Source organism: Homo sapiens, chromosome 2 (genome assembly GCF_000001405.40).
Source record: "Homo sapiens chromosome 2, GRCh38.p14 Primary Assembly".
NCBI lineage: Eukaryota > Metazoa > Chordata > Mammalia > Primates > Hominidae > Homo > Homo sapiens.
In genome coordinates, this window is record NC_000002.12 from 159,843,062 (window position 1) to 159,869,838 (window position 26,777).

At 36.4% G+C, this 26,777-nt stretch overlaps 2 protein-coding genes across 3 annotated transcripts in view; both read right to left on the minus strand.

Moving 5' to 3' along the window:
• LY75-CD302 (LY75-CD302 readthrough) overlaps positions 1-26,777 on the minus strand; it is a 136,129-nt gene that overhangs the window by 74,434 nt on the left and 34,918 nt on the right. For both annotated transcript variants that reach the window (NM_001198760.1, NM_001198759.1), the window contains exons 14-23: positions 21,778-21,859; positions 17,760-17,828; positions 15,301-15,415; positions 11,843-11,878; positions 11,299-11,474; positions 10,569-10,636; positions 10,212-10,291; positions 9,140-9,279; positions 7,301-7,406; positions 6,919-7,079 (exon numbers count right to left, since the gene is read on the minus strand). In NM_001198760.1, the coding sequence (NP_001185689.1) occupies positions 6,919-7,079; positions 7,301-7,406; positions 9,140-9,279; positions 10,212-10,291; positions 10,569-10,636; positions 11,299-11,474; positions 11,843-11,878; positions 15,301-15,415; positions 17,760-17,828; positions 21,778-21,859 (1,033 nt within the window). The remainder of the gene's footprint in view (positions 1-6,918; positions 7,080-7,300; positions 7,407-9,139; positions 9,280-10,211; positions 10,292-10,568; positions 10,637-11,298; positions 11,475-11,842; positions 11,879-15,300; positions 15,416-17,759; positions 17,829-21,777; positions 21,860-26,777) is intronic.
• Positions 1-26,777, minus strand: part of LY75 (lymphocyte antigen 75) — a 101,402-nt gene that overhangs the window by 39,707 nt on the left and 34,918 nt on the right. The window contains exons 14-23 of the mRNA NM_002349.4: positions 21,778-21,859; positions 17,760-17,828; positions 15,301-15,415; positions 11,843-11,878; positions 11,299-11,474; positions 10,569-10,636; positions 10,212-10,291; positions 9,140-9,279; positions 7,301-7,406; positions 6,919-7,079 (exon numbers count right to left, since the gene is read on the minus strand). Coding sequence (NP_002340.2) covers positions 6,919-7,079; positions 7,301-7,406; positions 9,140-9,279; positions 10,212-10,291; positions 10,569-10,636; positions 11,299-11,474; positions 11,843-11,878; positions 15,301-15,415; positions 17,760-17,828; positions 21,778-21,859 — 1,033 coding nt within the window. The remainder of the gene's footprint in view (positions 1-6,918; positions 7,080-7,300; positions 7,407-9,139; positions 9,280-10,211; positions 10,292-10,568; positions 10,637-11,298; positions 11,475-11,842; positions 11,879-15,300; positions 15,416-17,759; positions 17,829-21,777; positions 21,860-26,777) is intronic.

Below are 26,777 nucleotides of genomic sequence, written 5' to 3' on the forward strand. Positions count from 1 at the left end.
TATGTGGAGCCAAATGTGTATTATTAAATATATTCTCTTTTTTTTAAAGGAAATATGAACTGAATTCAATATAGGAGATTGGAAAATGAACAAAAACAGAACCCCACGAAAAATGGGGTAGAAAAAGGTAGAAATAGTATTTATAACACAGGTCAAGCAATAGGAGTAGAGGGTGGAGAAGAGAGTGGACAAAACCAATAACATGCATCTGTTTTTGTAAAAATGTAAATAATGCAAACTAAAAATGTTAGCAAAGATAATGGAGATTTTTTAAATACCATAAGCAACTTTACTTCAATACATTTGAAAATCTAAATTAAATAGACAACTTTCTTGAAAAATGCCAATTAGCATAATTGTCATAACGAAAAATGGAAATACCAAAATGTAACAATCACTTTGAAGGAAATGGAAAATTAATAATGGCCATTTTTTTTTTTTTACTGTCTGTCAGGTACTATTGATAAAGCTTTAAATAAATTATCTTATATAATCCTTATATTGACCTTATAAGGTAATGCAACAGAATTAGAGCTTGCAGATAAGAAATTGAGGCTTAAGAAAAGTTAAGTAAACCTCCAAAGGCATAGTAAATGGCTGAACTGGAATTCAAACCTAGGCAATCTGACTCCAGAGCTTGGGCCCTTCACTGCTGCACCAAATTCCTTTATCATTAGAGTATGATCTCTGCAAAGAACAATGTAGTGTATATTTCAAGACACATAGAAGAGAAGGTTTTGAATGTTATCTTTACAAAGAAAAGATAAATGTTTAAAGTGAGGAATATGGTAATTACCCTGATCAGATTGTTTATACAACACATGCATGCATTGAAACATCACACTGCACCTGATAAATTGGTACAATTATTATGAGTCAATTATAAATAAGGAATAATTAAAATTTTTTAAAAAGCAAAAATGCTCCTGGATAAGGGTTCTAACATTTTGTAGGTAGTTCCCCCAAACTTTCAGGGAAAGAGAATTCCCCAAGCTGAGTCAGAATTTCAGAACACAGAAAAGATGGAAAGCTACCCAGTCATTTTATGAGGCTAACATGATCAGAAAAAAATATGACAATATAGCATAAGAAATTGACTCTATGAAGAGAGAGGAACACATTCCCAAGTAAAATTCTAACAAATATAATGCAGAATAGTAAAATATTAATCCACTCTGAGCACCCAGATTTTACAACAAGAATGTAAAATGGTTTAATACAATATCTACTAATATATACCACGTACAAATAGGCCTAATGGTAAAAAAAAAAAAAAAAAAAACTATATGGCAATCTTAACAGATGCTGGGAACAAGTTTTAGAAAACCCAGTACTTATTCCTGATTAAAAGTTCTAAACAAGCTAGTTATAGAATGCTATATCTTAAACCAAGAGTCAACATAATGTTTAACAACCTGTTGAGGTCCAGATCAAGTCTACAATGGTGGCTACTACTGCTCCTGGTATTTGCCATGGAAATTCTGGAAATTCTAGCATATGTGGTGAGGCATGAAATGAAAACGAGAGAGGTAACTATAGGAACGAGGGTCACTGTTGCTTGTATATTATTATTAGCTACTTAGGAAACCCAAGAAAATCTAATGAAAAACTCAGAGAGAAAGAGCTTTTAGTGAGACAGATGCCTATGGGGGAAAAAAAAACCCATAACAAATTCAAACAATAGCTTCCCCACAAATCAGTAAGAAAAATTTTTTAAAGCTGTCATTCTTTTTTTTTTTTTTTTTAAATTTCAGCTTTTATTTTAGATATGGGGGCACATGTGTAGGATTGTTAAATGGGTGTGTTGGACCCAGGTAGTGAGCACAGTACCCAGGAGGTAGTTTTTCAACCCAGGTCCCCCTCCCTCCCTCTCCCCTGTGCTCAGTGTTTAACCTCCACTTGTACGTTAGAACATGCAGTATTTGGTTTTGGGTTCCTGTGTTAATTTGCTTAGGATTATGGCCTCCAGCTCCATCCATGTTGCTCCAAAGGACATGATTCCATTCTTTTTATAGCTAAAGTTGCCATTGTTAATGACAATGAGAAAGAGATGGAACTATAAAACTTCACAGAGTGATCTAAAGGAAGAGTTGAATAAATAGATATATCAAATTCATGAATTGGAAGATTAATAGAAAGATGTCAATTCTCCCAAACATGTAGTCAAATTCTCATCAAGAGTTTTAAAATTTTAACTATTTGGATGAAAAATGACTAATAATTCTAAAGTTTTCCTGGAAAAATGGACAAGAATATCTAAAAGTATGTTTTAAGGGCATGTAATAAAGTATAATTAATCCTATTATAGTTTTTAAAAATATGGTAAAATTATAATATTTAGATCAGTATGGTAGCTATTTAAAAATATTTCTCATATATATAATATGTGTATGTGTGTATATAACATATCAATACAGTCAGCCCTTCATATCCGTGGGTTCTGAATCTGGATTCAACCAACTGCAGATGGAAAATATTTGAGAAAAAATTTTTTTTGTCTGTACTGAACATGTAGACTTTTTTGTCATTATTCCCTAAAAAATACAGTATAACAACTATTTACATAGCATTTACATTGTATTAGCTATTATAGGTAATCTAGAGATGATTTAAGTATACAGGAGGATGTAGGTTAAAAAATTTTTTTTCTCAAATATTTGCCACCTGCAGTTGGTCGAATCCAGATTCAGAACCCATGGATATGAAGGGCTGACTGTATTTGTATGTTATATACACACATACACACATTATGTATATGAGAAATATTTTTAAATAGCTACCATACTGATATAAATATTATAAAATACAGTATATATATATACACATACACATATATATGCATACACACACAGTCCTAATATATGATAAAAGAGGCATCCTATATTGCTATATTGTTTTCTCTCTCTTTTTTTTTTAAACATAGACAGGGTTTTGCTGTGTTGCCCAGGCTGGTCTCTGGTCTCAAATTCCTGGGCTCAAGTGATCCTCCTGCCTCAGCCTCCCAAAGTGCTAGCCCAGGCCTATATTGTTTTTAACAAATGAAAGTATATGTAATAAATGATGCTAGAACAAGTGGCTAGGATTAGGGAAAATAATTAAGCATGCACTGACAACATGTATCATATACCATGGATGTAACATGCTATCAGAAAGGGGAAAAAAAAAACACACAAAAAACAGAGGCTGGGTGTGGTGACTCCTGCTTGTAATCCCAGCACTTTGGAAGGACCATGTGGGAGGATCACTTGAAGCCAGGGGTTCCAGACCAGCCTGGGCAACACAATGAGACCCTGTCTCTACAAAAAAATTAGAAAATGTAGCTGCGCATGGTGGTGCGCTCCTGCAGTCCTAGCTACTTGGAAGGCTCAGGCAGGCGGATTGCTTGAGGTCAGGTTATAGTAAGTTATGAATGCACCACCACACTCCAGCCTGGGTGACAGAGTAAGACCCTGTGTCAGAAAAAACAACAAAAAAAGGCAACCTATGAAACAAAACTAGAAGAAAATATGGACATATATTTAACTAATATTTACAATTTACATGATGGACTTTCTAACCTAAAAGCAACAGAGGAAAAATAAAAAGGAAATATACAGATTTGAACATATTAAAAAATAGTCAAAATTTATTTCTGTAATATTTTTGGCATTCAGACTTAAAGAAAACTTAGGAAAGTATTTGCAATAAACACAAGAAATACAGGATCAGCATATTTGATATTTCCAAAGTCATAAAATCAATAAGAAATACATGAAGGGTTTGATAGATAAATTTGCAAAGAAAAAGAACACTCCCACTTGATGAACTACGAATGATTATTTAACTTATTGAAGTTTGTTTTCATTAGAAATCAGAGAAAGATCAATGAAAATACGATATCAAACTACCAAATTAAGAAGAATTTTAAAAACCAAGTGCTCTTTAAAGGCAATTTTATTTTCTCTCTCTTTTATTTTATATTATTTTTGGAGATGGAATCTCGCTCTGTCGCCCAGGCTGGAGTGCAATGACACGATCTCAGCTCACTGCAACTTCCGCCTCCCAGGTTCAAGCCATTCTCCTGCCTCAGCCTCCTGAATAGCTGGGAGTACAGGCCCACACTGCCATGCCCGGTTAATTTTTTGTACTTCTTAGTAGAGACGGGGTTTCACTGTGTTGCCCAGGCTGGTCTCGAACTCCTGAGCTCAGGCAATCCGCCCACCTTGGCCTCCTAAAGTGCTAGGATTACAGGCATGAGCCACCACGCCCAGCCTTTTTTCTCATTTTTTAATTAAAACAATTTTTTTTAGAGACAGGGTCTTGCTCTGTTGCCCACATGGGAGGGCAGTGTTGCAATCATGGCTCACTACAGACTTGAACCCCAGGGCTTAAGCAGGCCTCCCCCTCTCAGCCTCCAGAGTCTCTGGGATTACAGGCGTGAGCCACCATGCCCACCCAGAACCAGATGTCAACCGTGACTCTGCATGCATAGGCTGCATGATCTCTGGCAAGTTACTGACTCCATCTTCACTTTTCTAAGGTGGGGCAGGGGTAACATCTTTATTTCATAGCTATTGGGCAAATTAAATGAAATAATGTATGTGATACATTAGCAGAGTGCCTGGCACATCTTAACTGCTTGATATATGTTGGAAATTAATAATATGCTGGTGAGGATAGAAGGACAATCACAATATGCTGTGAATAGGAATGTAAATTCATAAACCTTTCTGGAAGCAAGTTGGTAATCAGAGCTTTATATTACCTATATCCTTTGATCTGGCTACATGACTTCCAAAATCTCTCTGCAGGTAATGTGAAATATAGGCTAAGATTATACACAAAGGTGTTCATTGCAGCACTATTTATGATTGTGTAAAACTGGAAACAACCTAACACCCAGCACTGGTTAGGTAAATGATGGCATATCAATCAAGAAATATTGTGCAATCCAATTCGCAATTATAAAAATGTGGAACCAACCCAAATGCCCATCAGTCAATGAATGGATAAAGAAATTATGGTGTGTATATATATATATATATATATATATACACACACACATACACACACCATATATACGGTATATATATGGTGTGTATTTATATATGGTGTGTGTGTGTGTGTATATGTATATATATGTATGTATGTATATATATATGATGGAGGAATACTACTCAGCCATAAAAAGGAATGAATTAATGGCATTCACAGCAACCTGGATGAGATTGGAGACTATTATTCTAAGTGAAGTAACTCAGTAATGGAAAACCAAACATCGTTATGTTCTCACTAATAAGTGGGAGCTAAGCTATGAGGATGCAAAGGCATAAGAATGACACAATGAACTTTGGGGGACTTAGGAGGAAAGGATGGGAAGGGGGTGAGGGATAAAATACTACAAATTGAGTGCAGTGTATACTGCTCAGGTGATGGGTGCACCAAAATCTCACAAATCACCATTAAAGACTTTACTCGTGTAACCAAACACCACCTGTTCCCCAGCAACCATTAAAAAGCTTATCAAGTAGATCTTTTAATGGCTGAAGAAACTACTTATGATATAATACAAACTGAGAAAAGCAGAGTAATAGTATATATACTATGATCTCACTTATATCAAGAAAACAGTGTATGGAAAAGCCCTAGAAGAAAAGATGCTCAAGTACTCATTGTAATTCCCTAGTCTAGGGCTCAAATATGGTTGAGACTCATTTCGTATATCATGAAATCACTTAAGTGGATTTTGGCAAGTATTTGTGATAATGAAATAGAACAGAATAGGAGATAGTAGGATTGGACAGTAAAGGATAGGATAAGACAGGAGAATGGAACAAAATAGAAGAGAACGAACATATCAGAGTGCATAAATTATAAGGGTAAGTATTGTTTCTTGAAACTTTTGTTTCAATTAATATTATATCTATATCTATATACTAGATGGTGATTTAAATGTATTTCTTACTATAGATTATGCTTAAAAGTTTAAACTGTCTTAAGATTAGGGTTGACATTTTTCATTGCTGCGTTTACTCTAACTTCCACATCTTCTATAATAACCAAGTAATAATTTGATATTTATATTGTACATAGTTACTCACGATTGAGAACTTCCTTTGCTACCAACATCAACTTTGAGCAAAGTAACATTATGTCAGGAATATCAGTTGATTACTGTCTAAGACATACTTTTGGAATTAGACTTTTATGTTAATTTCTCAATCTTTGCCCTTTGTGCAAAAGGTAATCTGCATCCAGAAAGTATAGAGAACAGAAGCAGTGGGCGGTAATACTGTGGTGTCAGCATAACTACTGTCAGTATAATGCCCTCTTCCCTTCTCTGACTTCCCTATATTTAGCTCTTGGGGAAAAATGATCACCAGTTACCAATTTTGTACTTTTTGCCTCAGGAGACTGAGGCTGAGAGCCCAAAGTCCCAAAATGTAAAGCAAAACATCTGTATTTGCTTCTATTTACAACTCACTACATGATGGTTTTATATGGTTATGAAATAAGTGCTATGGAATCTGATGCTACTGTGAAAAACCAGTACATCCATCAGAAGGCTGGGGAGGCACCTGTTGTTCTTGCAACAGCTTTACTGAGCTATAATTCATATATGAGACAATTCGCTCATTTAAAGTACATATTCAATAGTTTTTAGTATATTCACAGAGTTACACAACCATCACCCCATAAATCTTAGAACATTTTCGCCATCCCCAAAAGAAACTCCATACTCTTTAGGCACTATTCTCAATCCTTCCATCCCCCGTAGCCTCTAGCAATCACTAACCTACTTACTATCTTAGATGTGCCTATTCTGGACATTTCATACAAATGGAATAATACAGTGGGGTTTTGCTTAGTCCAAAAATGTATGAAAGACTCAAGTATTTCACAGAGGTATGAAGAGTATTGGTTTTTAAAAAAACTTACATTTTCTGGTATTCTCAGCCTCCCACTAACCAATAATGGGTGAAAGTTACTGTACGTCAGCTCTCTGTTATCTGTCCATTTGTTTATCTTTTCATAGGCAGTCCAGCGCAAACCAATCCATAAAGTAGCTTCCATATCCGGAAGCAAGGATGTAATAAAGTCTGTTAGAAAGAGATTTTTAAAAAGCATTTGATTTATTCAAATTAAAGATACATTAAAAATGTCAATGAATATATTTTGTTTATCTATCAACATAGTCTTTTATCTGTTCCATAACAAAAGAAGTTTAATAAGAATTTTTGTATGTTAATTCCCCATAGCCTCCTAAAACTAACCTGGCCCCAGATCAGAATAAAACATGTTTCCCAAATAATTCCAGTACCTTGTTCAATCTGGCTCAACACTGAAGGAAGGGTGCCACCATAGGAGTGACAGGTATCGCTTGCTTGAGAAAATGTGAGAGACACGGGTTTGATCTTTAGAAAACACTGCAAACAAAGACATATGTGAAGCATGAGATTCCAGACACAGGAACGCTCACATAGGAAGTAAAATGCTTCATCTTTTAGAGGGCTGCTAATTTTCGGTCTGTGAGATATGGTAATTTGCAATGTAGTACCATAAGAATTCAAGTTTATGCTCTCATTAATTATTTAATTTTTTAAGAGACAGAGTCTCTCTCTGTTGCACAGGCCGGAGTGCAGTGGTGCAATCATAGCTCACTGTAACCTTGAGCTTCCAGGCTCAAGCTACCTTCTCAATTGAAACAACTGAAGAGCGGTCTTCAAACTTTCATATATATATATATATATATATATATTATATCTTATATATAAGATATATATTGTATATTATATCTTTAATATATATTTTATATTATATCTTTATATATTTAAAGATCTCTCATTTATTGAGTGCTTCCTATGTGTTAAGCAGTTTGTGTAGTATTATCTCATTTAATTCTCACAATGGAGACAGAAACTGAGGCACAGGGACATTAAATAACTTCATCCATAAGTGAAATAGCCACACAATAGTAAGGTCAGTATCTGTACTCTGTTCCACCTAATTTCAAAATCTGTGTCCTTAATCATCATCTCCTTATGTCAAGAAACACTGTTGAAAAATTCATCTCTTTCTTGGCAGGATATTTTAATTCAAATTTATATCAGCTATGCAAATTAACACAGTACTATTACCTTGAGGAATTAAAAAGATTGTCCTAATTTTAAAAAGTTAAAATGTACCCCTAGCTTTACTACAGATGCTTTCAGCTGTCAGACACATCTCTTTTTTCCCTTTTTCACATTATGATCACTTTAGTGTAGAGTGGTATGTCCCAAATTGTGTTCCTTGAAATATCTTACAAAAAAAATTTTTTTTTCAGCTTTCTTATAGACTGGAGTGGCCAATGAGCCAAGCTACCCAATGTGGACAAACTCATCGGGTAACTTCTAGAAAAGACCCTAGAGAGAACACCCTGAATTTAAGCTCGGAAGCCTTATATTAAGGATGGCAGAGCAAAACCAAAAGAAGCCTGATTTTGAAGACTTCATGGTGTTTCCACACAAACCTGCTTATCTTCAAATGTCTTTAATGTGACAGAATAAATCTTTTCTCATACTGTAGCAACCTCTTTTCAGAAGCCAAATGCATTTCCTAATACATACATATACCAACATGGATTATGCATCTCAAAGAGGCAGATACAGAATGCAGCATTTCTCAAACCTATTTAATCATAAAACCCCCATTTGGAGGCAAGATCAATGATTAACATTTTGTAGCATGTGTGTAGTCCCCAAAAAGTAGTTTGTGAAATGCTGGTCTAATTTGATTGGCAGATGCTGCTTGGATGCTCTCCTTGAGGGGAAAAAGAAAACACAAGCCAGAAATTAAGTCAGTTTCCTATAAGGCCATAGAGACAGTCCTGACTATTCAATGCATCCCAATCCCTCAACAGATCAACTTAAGCAATTTAAGTGTTAGTAGCAACAAAATAGAAATGCTGCACTTTAAAAGACCTGTAGGCATGACCAACTTGAGAGTTAATTCTTGATATCATCCACGGTTTCTGGCAACACAGAGGGCCAGGTGGGATCCTGAAACATGCAGAGTCTATTTCAGTGATGTTGTCACTAATGGGTTGCCATTCTGCCATAGGCTATAAAACCAGCATGGAAGCAATCATTGTTGCATAATGTAGCAATTCTCTTTTTACCTTATTCTGAAAAGGAATCCATTGCTCAGAACATTGCACTTTAGCTGCAGAATCTGGGCTGTATTTCTCTAACGAAGAAACATTATATTTTTCACAGATGAAGGGCAACTTGGTACTACAGTCTGTTGGTTTACCTAAGTCTGAGAAATGAAAAGCCAGGATTACTATGGTGAGAATTTTTCAGTCAGTACATTTTTATTTTGTTTTGTGTGTTTTTTTTTGTTTTTTTTTTTTTGAGACAGAGTCTCGCTCTGTTGCCCGGGGCTGGAGTGCAGTGGTGCAATGTTGGCTTACTGCATCCTCCACCTCCCAGATTCAAGTGATTCTCATACTTCAGCCTCCCAAGAAGCTGGGATTGCAGGTGCATGCTGCCACACCTGGCTAATTTTTGTATTTTTAGTAGAGACAGGGATTCACCACGTTGGCCAGGCTGGTCTCGAACTCCTTGCCTCAAGTGATTTGCCTGCCTCAGCCTCCCAAAGTGCTGGGATTACAGGCATGAGCCACCGTGCCCGGCCAAGTCAGCACATTTTAAAAGCAACCCAGTAGTAAAGAAAGGCTCTTGAAATCAATCTTTCCTAAATGCTTAAAATATATTCCCTTTCTTCTCTAGCCATTTCTGTCTTCTATGATTATTTTTATCAGTAGGTTACAGCATACCAATACTGTCTATGAAACAGCACACATTTTGTGTGACTACCATACCATCCCAGGGTGAAGGCAGGAGGTAGGAAGAGAGTTGAAGGGGCAATGTAATCAGGGGGAGGGGACTTAAACTATATTTTAGAACTGCTGCCTGCTTATCTTTGAAAATTTGCTTAGACACTTATCAGTTAGGAAAGTGGTAAGTTTATTACTAAGTAACTGCTTTAGGATAAAGGAAGTTAAAATATTCACAGTGAAAAGTACCTTTATTTGCATTGGGAATTTGAGCTATTGTTGCTAATAATAAATCAGAATAAGATGAAATTACCAAACATATAATTAAAAGGAAAACAAGATTAAGCTAGAAACTGAACCTGAACTTCACATATTACATAATCAGCATTAAAGGATTTAGAATTAACTTTACCGATAAGCCAAGTCTTGGCAGACATGTACAAGCATTCCTCTCCAAATGTCACAGGAAAGCGGTGCCATGGATATCGTGAGCTAAAAGAAAATGACAGATTTGACAACTCGTAATGTAATTAGGTGTTCCATTTTTTTCTTTTTACTGTAAGTTATTTTATTTCTAAATTTAATGTTAATACCATTACTCTATACCCCTTTTTTCTTGATGCTAACATGCAAAAGGGCTTGGTTTCTCTAATTTAGGCAGTTTATGGATTAATATTCAAACTACTTATAAATAGAAATCCATTTAGTAAAAGGAACTGCTTCTTTTAAGTGATAACTTTACAAAGGTAGAATCAATGATGTCACCTACTATGTAAAATGATCATCTATTGGCCACTCGCTAATTCTTATCCACCACTTCTGTCCATCACCAGATATCTGAAAAACAAGCCAAACATCCATCCTTATATGTGCTGAGCTTTCTTGAGGGTTTTGATTCGAATACATTGTCTTACTATAATCACTAACCACTAAAATTTCCAGACATTCCTTACTTAGATTTCAAAATTATACAAACTAGAACCTTTTGCCAAAGAGTAGTTGAAATTTCTCAGTATATTTACAGATCCTATTGTGGGTACAGGAAATATGGTAGCTGTAATTATGGGCATATATTAATTAGACTAATACTTTAAGTGGGCATACAGTATCCTATTGCAATTGATTATAAATTTAAAAATACAGAAATTATTTTTCTTCCCAAAAATTATTTTGCAAAGTTACTTATTAGTAGAAACAGAAACTCAAGTTAACTATAAAGTTGACTTTTAGTAAAAAATGTGACAGGAAATTAGAATGATCTATATTATCTACTGATGTTTACCTTATAAAGTGACATTTATTATTAATCTTGTATATTTTAAAACATAAGCAATTCTACTTAATTTTTCTAACATGAAACAAATTTGGATGCTGTGAGGCAGATTTTACATTAAAGAAAAATTTAACTTTTGTAGATTTTGGCAAAATTTTTGTAATATTTTTAAATGGAATAAATACAAAAATAAGAAATATATTTAAAATATATTCTTTTAAATTACATTTGCTATTTTGTTTTTGATGGCTTTTAGTCCCACAAAAGATGTTATAGTTGCAAGAAAGCTGTGATTGCTGGCACAGTACAGGACGGCTTCTTCATAGTTTAGGTGAAGATCAGCAACAAACCAATATTCACTTCCTTCAATTATAAGTGGAGGTCCATGAATTCCAGCACGGTCTAAAGAAGAAGAAGAAAAAGATTAGAATTATGACTATGCAAAGCAAACTGTGTCCTCTAAGCATGAGTTAATGTTCAAAACTATAAATAGTAATTCAGATTACCGGCCCTCTCTGGCTGGGGCAGTACTGACTACAAGGAACAAGAGATTCCTGAGCCAGTGACTCTGCCACTCCCCTACACTCACAGGGAAGGAAAAAGTCACCCTCATCACCTCATCCCATACCAGTCGCTCACCTTCCTTGCCTGGAGAAATTTTGTCTCACTTGAAGATGTATAGAGAAGAAGCTGGCACTTAAATAATTAACTAAATGCATTAGTGACAAGGTAAAAGCAGCTTTGGTTAAATTTCAGTTTTCTTAACTCACCTGGATTGTACCAGTCTGGTGTTTTTGGAGTACGGCCTGTATGAGGAAGAAAGCAAGTGGCATTAGTATTCCATGACAGATCAGGGTATACTATAAGTACGGCCTTTAATGTAGCTCGAAAGGACTTGCAGTATTGTTGAGTCTTGTCCATTTCTGGCCAACCCACTTCACGTTTTGATCACTTTAGTTGTATTTTGTAGGGCCGATGCTAAACCTGCTTCAGGAGAAATCCAAAAGGCAGATACGTTAAATATTAATGAAGTATTTCTAGCAGTCTTTTACCTTGTGTCACAGAGGTCACAAAAGAAGTAAGACAGATAAAATATAGCTAAGAATTAGAAAGTAAAAACAAGTAAATAATGATATTGTATGTGTTACACAGAAGCATAAGAAGTAGGAACCAAAATAACGGTCATTGAAAAGGGAAGTTATTCAGGAACCACTTCTGCATCTAATGAAACAGGTTAACTGTTCTGTAAACTTAGGTTGATAGAGTTCATTGTCTTCCAAGATATCCTTGGAAACAATGTACAATGCTCCAGTGTTGAACCTTTTGAGAAGATGAGACAAAACTGAGAGGAAAATAATTAAAAGTGACTCAGGATTCCCAGATGGAAACGGAGTAAATAATGGCATGCTACACAGAATTCCGGGTTGGAAGCTGGGCGGGTCAGTGTGCAAATGCCCTTATGCATTTTGCTGCCATGGTATTTCGGATGAGTGGCTTAACCCTCTCTGAGCCTTGATTTTCTCCTCTATGAAAACTAGATGGCTACCTGACTCACAGAGAGTGAAGGTCACGTGTGATGCCCTGGAGGAAGTGGCCAGCACAGGACCAGGCACAGGGAAGTTCCCCATGGGAGCCTATTTGCGTTCCTCCCCCTTTTCATTCTGGCCACAGATCACACTGGCTTCAAGTCAAAGACATCATTTGCTTAATCTTAGAAATTACAGAGTAAAATAGCTGGTCTTAATTTTGGTGTGGCATGTGAGCCTCAGGCAGGCATCAGAAGACCTGACTCAGAGGACTGCCTGAATAGCCAGCATCTTTAGTCTCTCTCTGAGCCAGTTCTATTCGTATTGGATAATTTCCAACAATAATGTTGCAAGTCAGTTCAAAATGTACATAGTTTCTTGTCTGTAATCTTGTCAAAGACTTCTGATTATTTGTGTGTGGGGGAGGGAAAGCTATGGCTAACCTTTAAATATCTTTAAATTAGTGAGAAAAGTAGGATGCAAGGTGTTTTTTATACAAGATTGCAAACATGTATGTGTGTACAAGGTATCAAGAAATACAATAAAAATTGCTATGTCTGGGTAATGGCATCATAGGTAATTTTCCTAAAAACACTTTTATGAGCCTTATTTTTGACACAGTTTTCTCAAAAAATAATATTTAAAAAGTACAAATATCCACTGTGGTTGAGGTAACTTCAAATTTACAGGTTGTCAAAATATCTCTTTTAGGGAAGAGAGGATTAATTAGAACCAAGTAATAAAAAGGCAAGAGCCAGAGAAGAGGCATGGTGATTTAGAATACATAAGAGGAAAACTTCTTTAAGAAAACCAGAAAATACAGATGAATACAAGTTGAGTAAACTTAGGCTGCTCTAATAACCAAGAAAATATCCAACCAGCTGAATGCATCACATCGTAACTTAGAAAGTTAGGTACAGTACGGTCAAAAAAGGGTGAACATAACATTTAAACCCTGGAGCAAGCAATCATTGATTTCTTCAAGTGATTGGGACAGGCTGAGAACAGGAGTTTAGTTTTTTATTTTATTTCTGCATGGGGATAATGGAGGTGGAATTATTTAGATTTGTTCGATTAATTGATTTATATTTTTAAGTGGGTTAATTCCTTTCTCTCTTGTTAAAAAATATATATTAAAAAAAATATATATACACCTCCACATGCCCTTCATACTATTTCCTCTGGTGGCTAATTTGCCATTTCTAAGGTTGCCCTTGTTTAAACTCTGGGGTCTGCTCCACTGCTCAAACAGGAGGTGGGGGCAGCAGCTCCCATCGAGGGCACTTTGGTTGGAACAATGACACTGTCTGTGGAATGCTAACAAATGCCAGAGAGTAATGGGAGGCTCACATTAACACTTCAAAACAGAGACATTGTCCGAATTAATTATATACAAGTTACTTTTCCACTTGTTTAAAGGATATCCAAACTGGTTTTCCTTTGTCCCTTTTTTGGGTTTAATAAAATAATCAAGAATAACTTAGGCATAATTTATCCTTTAGAAAAACCCATCAACACAACTGTCTTTCCCTTACAACTGGTTTGACAGTTTGCCTTTGTGAAAGAGATTTGCTACTACCTGATGTCACATCTGAAGCTCTTTTAACTATTTTAGGAATAACAATCTTCTAATAGGCAGTTCCATGATGTGAACTTTGGGTTCTTTGAGAACTTGTAGGAGGATATACCTTTAGTTTCAATGATCTGTTTACATTCAGTTCAGAGATTTCTTTAAAAACCTTCTATGGGTTTTCTGCTAATTAATTTCATACAGCCAATCTCTGCTTAAAAATAATTTGAGGCTGGGTGCAGTGGCTCATGCCTGTAATTCTAGCACTTTGGGAGGCTGAGGCGGGCCAATCACCTGAGGTCAGGAGTTCGAGACCAGCTTGGCCAACATGGTGAAACCCTGACTCTACTGAAAATACAAAAATTGGCTAGGTGCGGTAGTGGGTGCCTGTAGTCCCAGCTACGCCAGTGGCTGAGGCAGGAGAATCACTTGAACCTGGGAGGCAGAGGCTGCAGTGAGCCAAGATTGTGCTACTGCACTCCAGCCTGGAAGACTGAGCAAGACTGTCTTAAAAAATAATAATAATAATTTGAGAATTAAAGTCTTAACATTTTTCTTAATATTTCATGTTTTCCTGGAAAAAGTAAAGTAAAATGGTATCTACATTTCTCCCCACTCTCCCTTCTGTTATCAAAGGCTATACTATCAATCTAACTGGCTTCTCAAATTTGAATTTATATAAAGTATTAGCAGTTTTATAGTTCATTGAAAATTGCTTCTAAATTTTACAGGGACCTGCCAAATTTTTATTTCTTGACTTCTGCCTTATTCTTCCCAAGATTATCTTTATTTTTTCATTTTGCATCAAAATAAAAACGAAAATGATTCTGCATTTCTCCTTTTGCTTAAAATAATATTTCATCCAAAATCTAATCTCCCTGAATGAGCCTCACATTTTATCTTCTATGCAAATTCTTCCATGATCAAAGAGTAAGATATCACTAAATTTCAATAAGCTAGCCTTCTATTAGAAGCCGGAGTCAGGCAGGGGGTGCTCCACATATTAATTGCATCATCATCATAGGCTTTTAGACATCAGAATTATAGATCAAAATGCTCCCCTAGCTACTTTGAGCTAGGCATTCACAATGTTAACATGAGAAGGTTGTGAAAAGGAATAACTACCACTTACCTTTTGGAATTTGGCACACCCATTCAAGTTTTGTATCACAAGCAAAAGGCCTCAAATAAATAAATTCTCTATCATCATAGAAATGCCAGCCTCTTCGCCATGGCCTATGAAATACCTATAAGAGGAAAAGTATTGCAGAATATTTTGAAGTTGATACATCCCTTATGGAACACTAAACTGTAAGCCCTATGACTTTGATCTCTATTTTAGCTCTAGCACCTAAGATATTTGTTCGATAAATGAACACATGAATTAATGGAATATTTAAACAGTAATACCCTGAGCAAGAGCCCTCAAAGGGGCTAACAAAGGAAATATGTTGTAAAGTCATGTTTATGTCCAAAATGCAAATTTTCTCCCCCACACCTGACAATTTTTGTTAGAATATTTATTTCAGAGGTATCCAAGCACCAAGCTGTGATCAAATTAGATCAGAAAGCGACATAAAGGTCCAGCCTCAGTGGCTCAGGCTCCTTCTCTGGTGTTACCATGCCATTTCTAGGATTTTGCCCTTCTCCACATGGTCCAGGATGGCTCATTACAAATTCCAGTCAGCAAGTAGGATAAAAAGGATAGGGGAAGGCATTACTTGGGAGAGACATCCATCACTTCTTAGACTATTTTCTCTTAAGACCAAGTTTCTGGGGGTTCTGTGGCAGGTGAGGTAAGATTTTCCTTACAGAACACTGCCCTGGCTGGGCTTGTTCCTGATGCAGGTTGCATTAGTATCTCTTTATTTATTTGGTAGATTTTCAAATCTCTCCATACTTGGCAACTCTATTTCCCTAGAACACAGTTTATTGTACCAGTGTTCTCAACACTACTAAAAATTCCATAAGCTTCTCTGAAGTTTTCACCTTTTCCTGTGTTACATTGGGAATTCTATAAAAATGACATGTACTACACAGTTTATTACTAGAAGAGTTACTTTGAAAACAGTGCTTTCCTGTGGTTTTGTCAGTTCTTATATCCCTCAGCCTTCCTGTAACATTTCTGGTCAGCCACCTTGTTGAATCTCTTTCTTGGACTACAAATCAAAGATATTAACTGATGTCTCCTCCATCTTCATCTTTTTTCACTCTATATATTGGCAGTTCCTCCAAATCCACTTCTTGGCCCTTTTTTTAAAAATATACATTTTCCTTTCAACTCAAGACTCTTGATCTCAACTTACCATAGCATACATCTTATAGCTAGCTTGGATTCAAAATATCTGAACTAAAACATACAATTTTCTCATAAATCAATACCCTTTCTATTTCTATAAATGCCTAGTCATATAGCATAGTGGTTAAGAGTACCAGACCCAGACACACATGGGTGTAAATTTCAGTTCTTTCAGTTTAAATTTACTCCATGTAAGCTGGGGTAAATTACTCACAGCTCAAATTTCCATGTGAGATGAATACAGTAACAGTGCCTACCTCACAAGATTGCTTATGTGCTATGTGACATATGTGACATGCCTAGTATAGTGGCTGGCTCATAAAGGAGTTAATCAGTGTTAGCTGCTCCATCATCATCATCACCACCACCATGGACCATCACCATCACCATCCTTATTATTCTTTCATAATATTCTTGTTCTTGCATAAAACTTGTATTTCGCATGTCATAGTCTTTACTCAGTGGTGTTGTAATTGCTTGTTTACTTGTCTTTATTTCCTACTAGACTTTAGTTTTGTGAAGACAATGGCTATGCTTTGTACCTTGTCATTGTTCTATCACCCAGTGCCTCACTGACTCCTTGGACTGTTTATGAAATGGATACATGAATGCATTCTGCAAAGGAAGATGCCTCACTGGTCTTCTATGCCTTCCAATCTTACCTGTTGCTTTTGACATCTGTCTCAAGATGAATCTTCCTCATACCCTCCTTAGTTCATGTGACCCTCCCTACTCAGAAACTTTAAAAAATGCCCTGTTGCCTATCAAGAAGTGTAGAAATTCCTTAAAGTGGCATCAATCTGATTTCCTAATACTGTTATCAAGGACAGCACCAATGAAACTTCTTGATCTGTATTCTGTTCTCCACTGCCCTCTTCCACTTCCACCTTATTTTATACCACTTTCTCATACCATCCCCTCATGAAAAAACCTTACCCTATCCCATTTGTAGAAACTCTATCCATCCTTAAAGTCCCAGTTCAAGTCCCACCTCTTCCTGGGAAATGGCCATGGGACTCACTTTCTCCTCTGAATTTCATTAGCCTTCCTCAGCCCCCTCATTTGGAGCATATTACTGCGTGGTAATGAGAGAGGTTTTCTTGAATATGAATTTTATCCTCTCAAATGAAGTGTAAGTTAGGCTGCTGAGGGCCAGGCCATGGGTGTGCTTATCTCTCACTGCATCTAACATCATGCTTCACATAAAAAGACACTCCATGGATCTGTTACTTGACTGCATATGATGATGGACTTATGTTTTAAATATGCAGATTTTCCAGCATTGTACTGACCTTGACAGCAGCACAGTCTCTGATGTCATAATCCTGCTGAAACTCATTTGGCATGATAATAGTAGACACCTGAAAAGACAAGAGAGGCTTGAGAATTTAAGACTGATGTATAAATATTTGCAATTTAGATGTAATTTAGGCAGCCTTAATCACTCAAGTGCGTTGATATGCCACAGAAAGAAAACTTTTCCATCTCTTTTTTATATCATGATGCTAAATCATGAGAGGACTTAGCAAATGTCATAATGTCATAAGTTTCCAAACAAAGGAAGCCACAGTTTCAGAAGTGGAAGTTAATAGTGTATTAAGTTCGCCGCTGGAGTCATAGAGAATCAGGTTTGCAAAATACTTTTTTCTTTTTTTGCATGTGTTGAAATGCTCATTATTTGATTAACTAATCTCAGATATGCTCCAATTTGAAAATAAACTCAAGGAGTTTTACATTTAGAAAGAATAAAAAAGGAGGTGACATTGGAGTCACCAATTTTTGGTGACAAAAATTGGAGTAAATATTGAATATCTGAGAATAATTTTGCTCCTATAACTATTACACTAATATATCCTTATAATATAAATGTGGAATAATAGCAAGGATTTTCTAGAGGTTTCTCCAAACAAATAATTTCCTCCAATAAGGATACTTTTGGCCAGGCACAGTGACTCATGCTGGTAATCCCAGCACTTTGGGAGGCCAAGGTTGGCAGATGGCTTGAGCCCAGGAATTCGAGACCAGCCTGGGCAACATGGTGAAACCCCATCTCTACAAAAAATACAAAAATTAGCTGGATGTGGTGGCATGTGCCTGTACTTGAGAGGCTGAGACATGAGGATCAATTGAACCCAGGAGGTTGAGGCTGCAGTGAGTCATACTGGCACCACTGTATTCTAGCCTGGGTGACACAGTGAGACTCTGTCATCCCCACCTAGTCCCCCCAGAAAAAGATATTTTATTTTTTGTATAACTCTTCCATATTTAGATAATAAAAAGAAAAGCTTCTTACTATAAAAATGAAAATAAACAGTATAAAGAGAAAGCTTTGAAAACAATCACTTGTGGCCAGATGTGGCTCACACCTGTAATTCCAACACTTTGGGAGGCTAAGATGGGTAGACTGCCTGAGCTCAGGAGTTTGAGACCAGCCTGGGCAACATGGTGAAACCCTATCTCTACAAAAAAATATAAGAATTAGCTGGGCGTGGAAGGGCACGGTAGCTCACACCTGTAATCCCAGCACTTTGGGAGGCTGAGGCGGGTGGATCACAGGGTCAGGAGTTAGAGATCACCCTGGCCAATATGGTGAAACCCCATCTCTACTAAAAAATTAGTTGGGCGTGGTGGCACATGCCTGAAGTCCCAGCCACTCAGGAGGCTGAGGCAGGAGAATGGTGTGAACCCGGGAGGCGGAGCTTGCAGTGAGCAGAGATTGCACGACTGCACTCTAGCCTGGGCGACAGAGTGAGACTACGTCTCAAAAAAAAAAAAAAAAAATTAGCCGGGCGTGATGGCATGCATCTGTGGTCTCAGCTACTGGGGAGGCTAGGTGGGAAGATCGCTTGAGCCTGGGAGGTGAAGGTTGTAGTGAGTTGAGATCGCAGCACTGCACTTCACCCTGGGTGGCAGAGTAAGACCCCATTTCAAAAAGAAAAAAATCACTCATACTACCCAAAGATGACTACTATATTTATAGCTTTACAATTTTTTGACTATATATAGAGAGACTATACATATGGGTTTTTAAAAATAAAAAGAAGACTTGTAACTTGTCTTTTCCTTACTGCCTATATGAGACTCTATTTTCATTTCAATAAAGACACATAATTTTAATGGTTGTATGATACGTGAATGTATTTATTTTATTTTTTAAATTGGCAGATAAAAGTATATGCATTTATCATATACAACATGATGTTTTGAAGTATATATACATTGTGGACTGACTAAATTTAGCTAATTAACAAATGCATTATCTCACACAGTTATTTCTGTGGTGAGAACACTTAACATCTACTTTTAGCATTTTTCAAGAATATAAAATATTAACTATAACCAACTTGTTGTACAATAGATCTCTTGAACTTATTCTTCCTATCTAAATGAAATTTTGTATCCTTTGACCAACATCTCCCCAGTCCCCCACCTCATCTGCCCCAGCTCTTGGAAACCACCATTCTATTCTTTAGCTCTATGAGATCCTTTTTTTTTTTTTTTAAATTCCACATCTCAGTGATATCACGTGGCATTTGTCTTTCTGTGCCTGGCTTCTTTCATTTAACATAATGTCCTCCAGGGTCACCCATGTTGTCACAAACGGCAGGATTTCCTTCCCTTTTATGGCTGAGTAGTACTCCATTGTGTACATGTACCATACTTGCTTCATCCATTCATCTGTTGATGGACACTTAGGTTGATTTCCTATCTTGGCTACCATGAATAGTGCTGCAGTCACCCTCCGAGTATCTTAAACATTCTCATTTCACTTCCTCTGAATATATGCCCAGTAGTGGGATTGCTGTTCATGTGGTTAGTTCTATTTTTAATTTTTTGAGGGACCTTCATAGTGTTTTCAATAATGGTTGTACTAATTTACATTCCCACCAACAGTGTGCAAAAGCTCCCTCTTCTCCACATCCTTACCAACATGTATCTTTTGTCTTTTTTATAATAATCATTCTGAGAGGTGGGAGGTGATAACTTACTATGGTTTTAATGTGCATTTCCCTGATGATTAGTGATGTTGAGCATTTTTTCCTATGACTGTTGGCCATCTGTATGTCTTCTTTTGAGAAATGTCTATTCAGTCATTTGGCCATTTTAAAATCAGATTGTTTTCTTGCTATTGAGTTGTTTGAGTTCCTTATCTACAGTCATGCATTGCATAATGGCCTTTCAGTCAACCACAGATGGCCTACATGTATGTTCCTGCCTCCATATGCTTGTGTAGATAGTCTTCCTTGGAAGGCCTATCCTTCCTCCTCTTGGCCAGTGTGAATACTGGCATTCAGATCATGGCTAGAAAGAAATGTTAGCCATCCCTTGAAGATGTGTTCCCACGAGATTATATCTTTACTGTACCTTTTCTATGTTATCATTGTGTTACAAATCCCTATAGTAGTCAGTACAGTAACATGTTCAACAGGTTTGTAGCCTAGGAGCAATATAAAGCCTAGATGTGTAGCCTATGTGTGAAGTAGGCTGTACCATCTAGATTTGTTTAAGTATGTTCTATGATGTTTGCACAAAAACACTGCCTAACTAACAATGCATTTCTCAAAATGTATCCCATTGTTAAGTGATGTACGACTGTATTTTGGATATTAACCTTTAATCAGATGATAATTTGCAAATATTTTCTCTTATTCTGTGGGTTGTCTCTTCACTCTGTTGATTGTTTCCTTTATTGTGCAGAAGCTTTTTAGTCTGATGTAATCCCATTTGTCTATTTTGGTTTTTGTTGTCTGTGTTTTTGAGTTCGTATCCAAAAAAATCCTTGTCCAGACCAATGTCATGGAGCTTTCCCCCTGTGTTTTCTCCTAGTAGTTTCATAGTTTGGGGCCTACCATTTAGGGCTTTAATTCATTTGGAGTTGATTTTTGTATATGGTATGAGATAAGGGTTTAATCTCATTTTTCTGCATGTGGAAATCCAGTTTTCCTACTATCATTTATAGAAGAGACTGTCCTTTTCTCATTGTGTGCTCTTGGTATCTTTGTTGAAAACCAGTTGGCTATAAATATATGGATGTATTTTTGGCCTCTCTATTCTGTTCCGTTGGTCTAAGTGTCTGTTTTTATGCCAGTACCATGCTGTTTTGGTTACTATAGCTTTGAGGTGTATCTTCAAGCTCAGGTAGTGTGATGGCCTCCAGCTTTATTCTTTTTGCTCAAGATTTCTTTGGCTATTCAGGGTCTTTTGTGGTTCCATATAAATTTTAGGTGTCAATGTATTATTTAACAATCAACTTGTTATTGAAACAAACAGTGTTTCCATACTACCTAAAACAATAACGTTTTAACTTACTGGTGTACGATCACTCCATTGCCAGGATCCTTGTAAATCTGGGCTCCTTTTATTCAAACCAATCCACAGCCAATGCTGGCCACTATGTAAAAAGCAAGTGTTAAAAATACAGGACAATGCTTGGCAAAAATATTTAGCACTCACATGTCTAATGTGCATCACTAATTGAAAAGCACAGTTTCAAGCAACATAAAGAAGTCTTTTGAAATGAAACTAAGCCCTTAATGTGGGGTAGTTACAGAAAAAGTACCATACTTTTAAAACTACATATTAAGCTGTTTTCTTCATATGAAAGGCAAAAACCATTCTACTTTGAATTTTAAGAGGAAAAAAATGGAAATTATTCCAAGACTTTTACTGTAGTGCTTGAATATTAAACAATACTTTCAGATACAGTCAAAGGCAACAATGGCATTTCTTTAAAGTGTTTGTCTATAACACTATCAAATATTCTTCTTTAAAATGCAGAACTATTTGGCTAAATTTTTGTTAAACAATATTTGAAACATAGTTGAGTTCCTACTATCCACTAAGTTTAAACAAGCATTTGAGTATTGCCTATGTGCCAAAGAAATATACCAGAAAAATAAATTAAGCAATAATTTAAGTGATTATACTTATCACCTATAAGTATTATACTTTTATGTAAAAGGCATTGAGCTAGGTGCAATGATGACACAGAGAAGTATAAGACCTACATCTACCCTGAAATGTAATATGAAATAGAGAGATAAGATATATATGAACAAAAAAGTAAAGACCATTTATGAAAGCTATCAAATGAGTTATATACATTTTAGGTGACACAAAAGTTCAGAGAAAGGAGAGGTCACTGCGGACTGCAGAAAATGAAGAAAGACTTTGTGAGGTTGGTAGGACAAAAGATATTCTTCAAGGGATGGCTAACATTTCTTTCTAGTCATGATCTGAATGCCAGTATTCAGATTGGCCAAGAGGAAGAAGGGTAGGCCTTCCAAGGAAGACTATCTACACAAGCAATATGGAGGCAGGAACATATGTCTAAGTAATCCTTTCCCCTCAAATACATTTATGCTCTGGCCAGGGATAAATATCCAGCATAAGTAGATGTAATATAAGCACAGAAAATTTTCTCTGCCTCTAACTCCATTTGAAAATGTTTTCTAAAATTTATTACACTTTTAGGCGACCAATAATATTCCACATAATTTAACCTTTTGTTGGTACATGGTATGTATGATCAGTACATATGTGTGTATACATATATATAAATGTAATATGCCTGTAAGTGTAATACAGATACATTTTAGAGAAGGGGTAGATTCCAAATCTAAAAACAATGCATACTCTCAAGTTCAGCAGAATATATGGAACATATAGCTACAAGTCTACAGAGAAATATAAGTGCATTTTAATAAAATGTACTAGTGAATCAAAGGCTGAAACAAAGAATTTTAAACTGATTTCTTATTTTTTAATAAATAATTGCTTTTCTTTATTTCTTACCTTTGTTCAACATTCCCTCATATTTTAACAACAATAAGTACTTTTTCATCTTTTCAACCTCAAGGCTTTTGGACTTAATGCAATGGAATATGAATGAGGACTGTCCTGTTTTGGTTTTTATTGTTATCTTGTTTTCTTTCATAGAGACAGATCCACCAATTTGTGGACCTAAGATATATCCAGTGGAGACAATTAAATCCAGTTTAAATTTAGTAGCTACAAGAGGAATTTGCAGTTTATGCCTTCAGCTCATCGGAGCTCTCTTACAGGCTTCCGAGTGTATCATACTGCCCGAGTGCTGGATTTCTAAACCACAGGGTCTAGACAATTGGCATACACAGCACAATTAAAGCCAGACGGCTAAAATAGAGAGGCAGTTAAGTTTTCTTCCTCATATTTACTTGGGGAAATAACTGCATTTCTCCCAAATCTTTGCACATTATATATTTGGGCCTGGGGAATTCGTGTAGAATTTTGTGTTTCCCTAAAGTAAGCATTAGCTATTTTATCTTCTTTACACAATCCACAATACAACCAGGAAGACGATCAAAGATCATTTGTCACCTGCATTGTAGAGGCTCCCACTGGTAGCCTTTTTAGAGGTTCATCCTCAACTTTCTAGGCTCCTCAAGCCCTTACCCAGTCTTCTCTCAGCTAATAGCTCCCCTTCCTTCCACTTAGAAACATCTCTGCTTTCAAGCCCATTTCTGGCTCCTTTGCTGCACCTCAGAGGACAGCTTCCTACAGAAAAGAGTTTGCTCGATTGTCCAAAATTTCTAATCTCCACTACTTTCTGAAACTGTATTTCAGAAATGTTTCATTTGAACACAGAAATTTACAGATTGAAAAAAGTTTCATTTGAACACAGAAATTTACAGATTTCAGCTTCATTTTAAAGAACTCACTAGCATGTCATAAATACAGAAAATAATAGCGACATGTATGTATTTTTTTTGTGCGGGATCAGAAGTGGAAAATATTTCCTCAATTGTAACTCATTCCTGGTTTGGCCTAGTTTAGCTGTAGGCAGATAAAGGGAAGAAGAAATTGGATATCACATTGATCATTGCACACTTCCAATGTTGATTTTAGAAAATGTGAAGGAAAAAATTGCACCTGATCATAACTGGGGAATCAAGTCAAACTGAGATTCCCTCTCTCTCTTTATAAGTTCCTGGTACTCCAAGCACTAAGTATATGGTTTTAAAACTATTGGGTTAAGAAGAGATAGCGTAAAAGGTTAATATGTGTAATTGTGTTAAAATTCCTATTCTCAATCAAATTTCCTGCTGCATTTGGTTGCTAAGGAAAACAGTATCTCAGCCATAAGCCCCAATAAATACTATTTGATGAGGGTGCTTATTCTACAAAGCCTTAGATTTATGTCTAAATCCATTCTTGCCACATCACAGGGGGTAGTGTACACAGCAGCAATGGCATTGCAAACAAGGCTTTCTTCTCTAATCCTATGGCTATTTTTGCCCTACAGTGGCTGTCCCTGTTGGGCTGCCATTAAGAGTTGCAAAGATCTCAGAGCCTTAATGATTTGGTGCACCATGAATCCTTTTCACTGAAATACAAATAGAGATGTGGAACTTAGATTGTGAGAGGTACAGCAGTAATCTGACTTAACTCCTTGGCATGCAATACACAATTTGGGCAATGGATATCTTGCTGAGAAAGGTCAATTCCTGCAATAAAAAGCCAAGGCATTCAAGGAGTATGCTTTAGAATCATTTTCTAATATAAATGGGTTTGCTTCCTTCTTTCCTTTAAGCCATGGTTACAATTTTGGTTTTAGAATATGTTCTCTAAGCACAGCACAGGCAAACAATTTCTTTATTATGGAGAAGTTATTAAGCAAACAAAGCAGTCTGCTTACCATGGCATTGTGTTAACTGCTAGGATCAGAGTACAAATAAAATACAGTTCCTATAAGTGAAGGGATTAAGGAGATTTGTTTTTTCTCTGTGCTGTTCTGTTTTCTAAATTCAATGTGCATTACTTTTATGATTAGAAAAAAATTAAACATAGTACATTCTATGGAAAATAGGTTTTGTAAAAGCTAAATGTGTAGAGATGTAAGTAAACAGAAAGGGTTTACACTAAGGGTTTACTATGTTTATAATCAGGAGCTAGGATTTGAGGTGATTGTTTGCTTCATTACTCATTTTTATATTTTCCAAATTTTATATAATGAACTTGTATTAATTTTTTAAAGAAGGGAGTGCTCAACAAGTGTGATTCAAAACAAAGAAACAAATCATAAAAATTTCCTTTCATGTTTTGTTTCCTAGTGTAATTCGTTCTGTATATGGATGCTCTTAATGGTCATTTCTATCACATATGATATTCCAATGTTTTCTACTTATTGTTTCTCACAAATATCTACAACCTCATTCATTAGTACTTATCCATGGCTCCTCGTTCCAGTTAGAGTTACTAACCTCTTGCTTGGAATCTAGAGCTTATGTCAGCATTTTACTTAAAAATACTTTATCTGGATAATATGATATTGTGTGTGTCAAGCTTGAAATCTAAGGGCCATTAAGTTGCCCTGCTTGAAACTTACATGTCAGGAAGTATTGGTGGTGTATTTGAAAGGCCATGCCCCACACATATACACCATGGAATACTATGCAGCCATAAAAAAGGATGAGTTCATGTCCTTTGTAGGGACACGGATGAAGCTGGAAACCATCATTCTGAGCAAACTATCGCAAGGACAGAAAACCAAACACCGCATGTTCTCACTCACAGGTGGGAATTGAACAATGAGAACACTTGGACACAGGGCGGGGAACATCACACACCGGGACCTGTTGTGGGGCAGAGTGATGGGGGAGGGATAGCATTAGGAGAAATACCTAATGTAAATGACGAGCTAATGGGTGCAGCAAACCAACATGGCACATGTATACATACGTAACAAACCAGCATGTTGTGCACATGTACCCTAGAACTTAAAGTATAATAATAAAAAAAAAAAAGAAAAAGAAAGGCCATGGTCCAGAGGTGGCCACCATGAGGACTTCCATGATCACCAAAGTCACACTGGAGGCTTTGGTCATGAGCAGAATGAATGTGAGAACTGGGTTAATGTCAGTGAAATCGGAAGCTTGTTCATCAGCATGATGGTAGGATTGGGCTCTCACTGGTGAAATATAAGTTATTTGAGATGCAGGGATTAGCTAAAATATTTAGAGAAACTCTCACACTTCTCAAGAGTGTATTAGAATCTTGCGAGGCCGCAGCCTGTATCTTAGTAGGGCTTGATTCGAAACAACCCCACATCCAGTCATTGGGTCAGGTGATTGTGATGGCCTGATACTCACTACAATGGGAACAGAATGCTGCCACAGAACACTGCCACATCTGCTTCAAGTAAATCTGTGCAAGGTGATAGTTAAAACACCAAAAAGGACAGATTGCTGGAATGTTGTCAAGCTTACAAAACACGTTGTATAAAATGTTTTGTGTCTGCTTCAATGAATGTTTGCATAGCAAATGTCTGT